Source organism: Homo sapiens, chromosome 5 (genome assembly GCF_000001405.40).
Source record: "Homo sapiens chromosome 5, GRCh38.p14 Primary Assembly".
Classification (NCBI taxonomy): domain Eukaryota; kingdom Metazoa; phylum Chordata; class Mammalia; order Primates; family Hominidae; genus Homo; species Homo sapiens.
In genome coordinates, this window is record NC_000005.10 from 53,298,984 (window position 1) to 53,305,210 (window position 6,227).

Here is a 6,227-nt window from a genome sequence, read left to right on the forward strand (position 1 = left end):
CTGTTATTTTTTGACTTTTTAGTAATAGTCACTCTAACTGATGCGAGATGGTAGGTATCTCATTGTGGTTTTGATTTGATTTTCTGTATATATTTAAGCATACTTATTAAAGACTTGAGGTTAACCACTGAGAATTAGGATGCCTTACTCCCAAATCATTTGGAGGAAAAAAAGGAACAAATAACTTAATCACATAAGCAGTTAAGGAAAAGAGACGGCAAGAAAGCATATAAAAGATAAACTACGAACTATGGTTCTGAGAACATAGTCAATTTTATCAGTAATCATGATACATTTTCCTGGGTTAAATGTATATATTAAAAGACAAAGATTCTCCTACTGGAGAAATGTTACAGCCATTTGTTATTTTTCAGAAATCCAAATACAATGACACAACATAGGGAGGTTAAAAATAAAAGAAGGCAAAAAGGTATTGAAAGCAAAGGCTAACAAAAGGAGAGCATATATAGGGACATTAAAATGAGATAAAGTAGAATTCAGGATAAAAACTACTGAAAGGGGACAAAGATGGATATTTCATATTAATAAAATGTTAACTCCATTAAAACTTTACTATTATCATGAATATTTGTGCTCCTAACAACTTAATTTTGAAATAAAAATCTTATTAAAAGAAAAATAAACAATTTCATAATCACAATGAGAAACTTCAACAAGTGTATCTTTAAATATTAATTAACAAATTAAAGATATTGAGAATTTAGGATGCATAATTCAATTGCTTGATCTATAAATTGTGGTAGAACTTTGTATCCAAGGAACAGAATACATGTTATTTTCAAACAGATGGAACATTCACAAATTTACAATATATTGGGAAATTTTTTTAAATGGTGACAAATTTTCAAAGCACAACTCATGCAGACCCTTTTAACTTATTGAAATATAATAAAATTTTATTAAAATCCAGTAAATTAAAATCCAATGAAAATTCAAATTTAACATCAAAGGGTCAGTAACCCAAAAGCTAACAACAAAAGGCCAGCAACCATTCCAAAGCATCAGCAGATATTTAGAAGACTAAGGTCTTCTAAATAAATTTTGGATCAAAGAAGAAACAAGGCAGAATTTTTAAAAATACCATATAGAAAACTGGCATGACAGCCCTATGTATCTAATGTAGTGGGACCGATTCCTAACCAGATGTAAGTTCCATACAGCAAGTAGAAAAGAGGAAAAGGTGAGGCAGGCAGATGAACGCTGGCTGGGCATGTCTCCTACATGGCCAAGCTGATACCCAAGGGAAAAAAAATGCATTTATTAGAAAAAAATTTTGCATAAAAACCAAAGAAGTATTCAACTCTAGAAGCTAAGCAATGAAATAAACCAGAGAGATGATAGAAAGTAATAAATATTAAAAGGAAAAATAGTAAAATTGATAACAAATATATTGGTAGAATTATCAGTAAAATAGAAAGATGATTCTTTTTTTAGAGACTAGTACAGAATACAAAACAAAGGTCAGCAAGTTTGATTAAGAAAACATGTGAGAGAAAAAAACCAAATATATCCAAAGAAGATTTTTTAAACTTTAAAAAACACTCTGTGCAACTTAATATCAATAAACCTGAAAATCTGGCAGAAATTAATTTAGGTTTAAATCAGAATATCGAAATGGGACAATTTCTGTTTCAGTTTTCTCAAAAGCTCCAAAAGTCAGAAACTAAAAGAACAGGTGCAGTATTTCCAATCTCCAAAGTGAGGCACTGAATGACTTGTGCAGATCCTGCAATAGAGGCCTCTTATCCATACAGCCTAATGCCAACGAGAAGCTATGAAAGGGTTGAAGCTGTTAGAAATAAAAGGGTGTTGGCTCAATGTCAGTTCCTCCTCCTGCCCCAGTGAGGGAAAATGTGTCCCCTGCAGTCTGGGACACACAGTGGGCTGCTACCTGACTCATCCTTGAAAACAGAGCCCAGTGGCAAAGCTGGGAAATGACTACTTTCTCACTTGTGGTGGGTTGTATGCACATAATTCCTGGACACCGTATGGGAAATGCTCAGTGATAATATCATGATGGAGTCATTGGAAGGGATACCATCCATGGTAGTCTCCCAGACCTGCTATTACAAAGTACGACAAACTGGGTGCTTCAAACAAAAAAAAATGTGTTCTTTCTGGAGGCTAAAACTTTGAAATCAAGATGTCAGCCTGGTCTGGCTACTCAGCTCCCTCTGAGTCTCTGACAGAACTCTCTTCCTTGACTCTTCCTAGCTTCTATAATGGCGGTCACTGGAAGCTGTGCAACTGTATCATACAATCTATACAAATATGGATAGCTCTGTTTCCTAGGGCTGCTATAACAAGAAAATGTGCCACAAACTTTGGTGGCTTAAAACAACAGGTATTTATTATCTTACAGTTCTAGAGATTGGAAGTCCAAAGTTAAGTTGTCAGTAGGGCCGTGCTTTCTCTGAAGGTTCTAGAGGAGGGTCATTCCTTGAGTCATCCTAGCTTCTGGTGTTGCCGGCAATCCTTTATGTTCCTCAGCTTGCAATAACATCAGTTCAGTGTCTGCCTCTGTTGTCACACGGCACGCTCCCTGTGTATTTCTGTCTTCTCTTATTATAAGGACACCAGTCATATTGGATTAGGGTCCACCCTGATGAACTCGTCTTAAGTGAATTACATTTGCAAATAACCTATTTCCAAAAAAAGGTCACATTCACAATTACCAAAAGTTAGGACTTCAACATCTCTCTTTAGGGGACACAGTACAACCCATAACAACACCCAAGAGCATGCCTCTCTGGGCTGGACACCTTGGCAGAAACAGATTTGAGATATCCATGCATAGGGAGATTGTGTGACCAACTGCTTTAGTCCAGAGAGGTGCTCCAAAAGGCCCTGCAGGATCTCTGGAAGGTCCACACGGCACTCCCAGGATAGAGTTTGATTTAAACAATGGCCTCAACTCCAGGAAATGAGTGCCAGATGATGGCTGCATCTTGTAAGTATGCCTCTCCTTCCCTCATCTTTCTTATACCTTGCAGGAGTCCAACACCACCTGGGGAAATGATAGCAGAGGAAGAGAAGAACAAGGCAGGGGAACTAGAGAAGCCAGCAACATGCCCTTCACCCTGTAGGTTGGCCTGTAGCAGCCCTAAATTAGGTAAAGACCCAGCTTTTGTTTGCTTTTTAATTGTTACAGTAGGCATGACATATTAATTCTAAAATAAAACTCTTCTTATAACTGAAAGGGACATGATTTCTAGGAGTCAGTGGGGGAAAATATGGGGCCAAGGGCAGAGAAGAACTAGACCTACAGAAAGGGGTTTTGCTGGGAGTATATCAAAACGATAATGTTGTTTTGATTATAAGCCATGAGTCCCAATGTCCAGTACTCTGGCATCATATTTTATTTTACCAAATTGGCTCGAGAGGAAGTTGAAATCCTGGAGAGCTTTATAATCCCAGGAGAAATTGTAAATGTTTCCAAAGAATTGGCTCAGTTATTACATACTTTTTAAGAGAAAAATTAACATTAAAAACAAATTATCTTTAACTGGAAAAAATGAAAGTACTGAGATACTAATGGTGAGTGATAATACATAAAGATATCAAGTACTTAGAATTTTAGATTGACATGTAACCTTCCTAGTCTGTAGGCAGCATATTGTAACACTTAAATATCAACCGAGATTATAACAGCCTTTGATTTCACAACCAGTAAAACATCCACTCTAGAGCCTTCCAGTAATCCATTCAGTTATTCAGCCAGCATATTTGTCTCTCACAGAGCCCAAACTGCTTAAAATCTTTTACTAGTATGTTTATCAAAACAAACATAACCCATGTTAAGATGGTTAGATAGGAAGATTAAAGGCTTCTAAGCCCAAGAGGCTTTGACAACCAATTTTTATGTCTAGAAACAAACCACAGAAATTCAGCTTCTAATGACATGCAAATGGACCTTGAGCAGGAAAAGGAAAAGTTTGATGTCCACTGTAGAGTTGCTGTGTAAAAACTCATTCCTCAATCATATACTATAACCTTTGATTATAAAAATCCTAAGTGGTTGAAATAAGGTTAAAATGCAGTACATCCCCAGTCATGTAATAGCCTCAGGAAACTCTGACAGTATTAATAAATGTCCTTGCACTTCTCAGTTAACCTATAGGAATACTGAAGATCAATTCTAGTACTTTGCTCTAGGTGGGCCCAGATTGATAGCCTGGAACCTTATCAAAATAGGCACGTGGCACCAAGATGTTTCCTAGAAGTGCTCTCACTTCCTAGTGGATGTATTTCATTGTAACCCATCAATGATTCAGAGTACTGTGGTTTCAAAATGATTAATATGTAAGGGTTGTAACAATGTGAGTCAGATGAAGCAGAAAAGGTGTGAGGAAATAAAACCATTATAGGAAAGTACACCACAAATTTGTGGATATAGTTAGTCAGTGAAAAAGAGTATAATAGAGTGTGCAACCTTAGTCATTCACATTTTCTCCTCATCTGGCAAATGCAAATTACTTAGAGGATTCATGTAATGAATCACAAATGAAAATCATCATGGATTTTACTTTGCATTATTCTCTTAACATATTTATTTACGCCCCAATATGTGCCAGAAATTGTGCTAGGTGCACAATTGGACAGATGATAGGTAGGTAGGTAAATAGATAGGTAGATTAATAGTGTTAGGGTTGGAATGTGTCTGCAAAATTCATGTGTTGTAAACTTCATCCCCAGCACAACCATGTTGAGACGTGGGACCTTCAAGAGGTAATTAGATTATGAGGGCTCTGCCCTCACGAGTGAATTCCTGATAAAAGGATGATGATGTATTCAGCCCCCGTTTTCTCTCTTCCACCCCCTCTCTTTCTCCTGCACACATAATCTCTTGCCCTCCTGCCTTCTGCTATGAGATGACACAGGAAGAAGTTCCTCATCAGACGTGGGCCCCTCCATCTTCTACTTCCCAGTCTCCAAAGTTGTAAGAAATAAGTCTCTGGTTTTATAAATTACACAGTCTCAGGTATTCTGTTATAGCAACACAAAATAGACTAAGACAGACAGATAGGTAGGTAGAGAGACTATGATAGATAGATAGATAGATAGATAGATAGATAGATAGATAGATAGACACTCTTGGCCCTCAAAGAATTCCCATTCAGGAAAGGCCTCAGACAAGTAAATATTTTCTACTGACTAAAAGTCCAAAGACATAATTAAGTATTCAGGGCCAGAACATGGATTTTGAAACTCCCCTGAGGAATTTATGTGCCCAAGCCATTGAATTGGATTGGTCCTTGATATATTTATAGCACTCAGTGTCAATTTTTTTCCATGAAGCACAAAATAATACTAAGTTCTTAAGTCCCTTAGGGATAACTTATTGCAAGTTAGTAATGTGAATTTAAAATACTCCCTCATTTTGTTCACCTCTAAAATGATGGAATATGGGAAAAAACTCACATATTTTATGAAAGTTGTTTGGCATAGCTAAAATGATAAATTTTTAAATAAATACATTTAACTCTTTAGTTGTGTTAAGACCCTAGATTACTGAACAGCATGATGAGCTATTTTTTTCTTTTTAAAACTGGTACACAGAAAATTGCAATTCATCTCTAACTTAGGAACCACTAAAACTAAGGTCATTTAGAGCAATAATTGTGTCTTTATTCAATATGATATAACTGTAGTACTTAGCACAATCCCTTATTTATATTAAGTACTCAGTAAATATTGGTTGAATCAAGTAGTAGAATACTAATAGATCATGTGACTATAATAAAGTAACATTTCGGACAGTGCCAACTTACCAAATTTTCAGATGAATAAAGGAAACTGGCTCTTTATGAGTTTTCATTCTTCTCTTCATTCATTTATTTGTTTCTTTGTTAATATATTGATTCATTCAACCCACTGAGTGAGTGCCTATTATATGCAAAATGCTGTGGAAGGGAAAAAGACAAATCATACAGGGATCCCGTCCTCAAAGTTGACAGTCTAATAATAACATATCCGTAACACTTATACAAATACAAGACACACACATGGAAAGGCATAAACCGGTGTTGGCCAATATAGTAGCTACCAGCCACATGTGGCCATTGAACACTTGAAATGTAGTGTATCCAAATTGAGATGTAGAGTAAGTGTAAAGTATGCCCTAGGTATTGAAGACTCAATAGAAAAAAAGATGTAAAATATCTCATTAATTTTTTTGTTATTATACTTTAAGTTCCGGGAAACAT

General features: G+C 36.0%; 1 long non-coding RNA gene across 1 annotated transcript; it reads right to left on the reverse strand.

Moving 5' to 3' along the window:
• Window positions 1–254: 254 nt before the first annotated feature.
• Window positions 255–5,918, reverse strand: LOC107986380 (uncharacterized). The gene is made up of 2 exons (XR_001742510.1): window positions 5,793–5,918; window positions 255–3,028 (listed from the first exon to the last, which is right to left on the reverse strand). It is a non-coding gene; the product is annotated as an uncharacterized LOC107986380 (long non-coding RNA).
• Window positions 5,919–6,227: the final 309 nt, after the last annotated feature.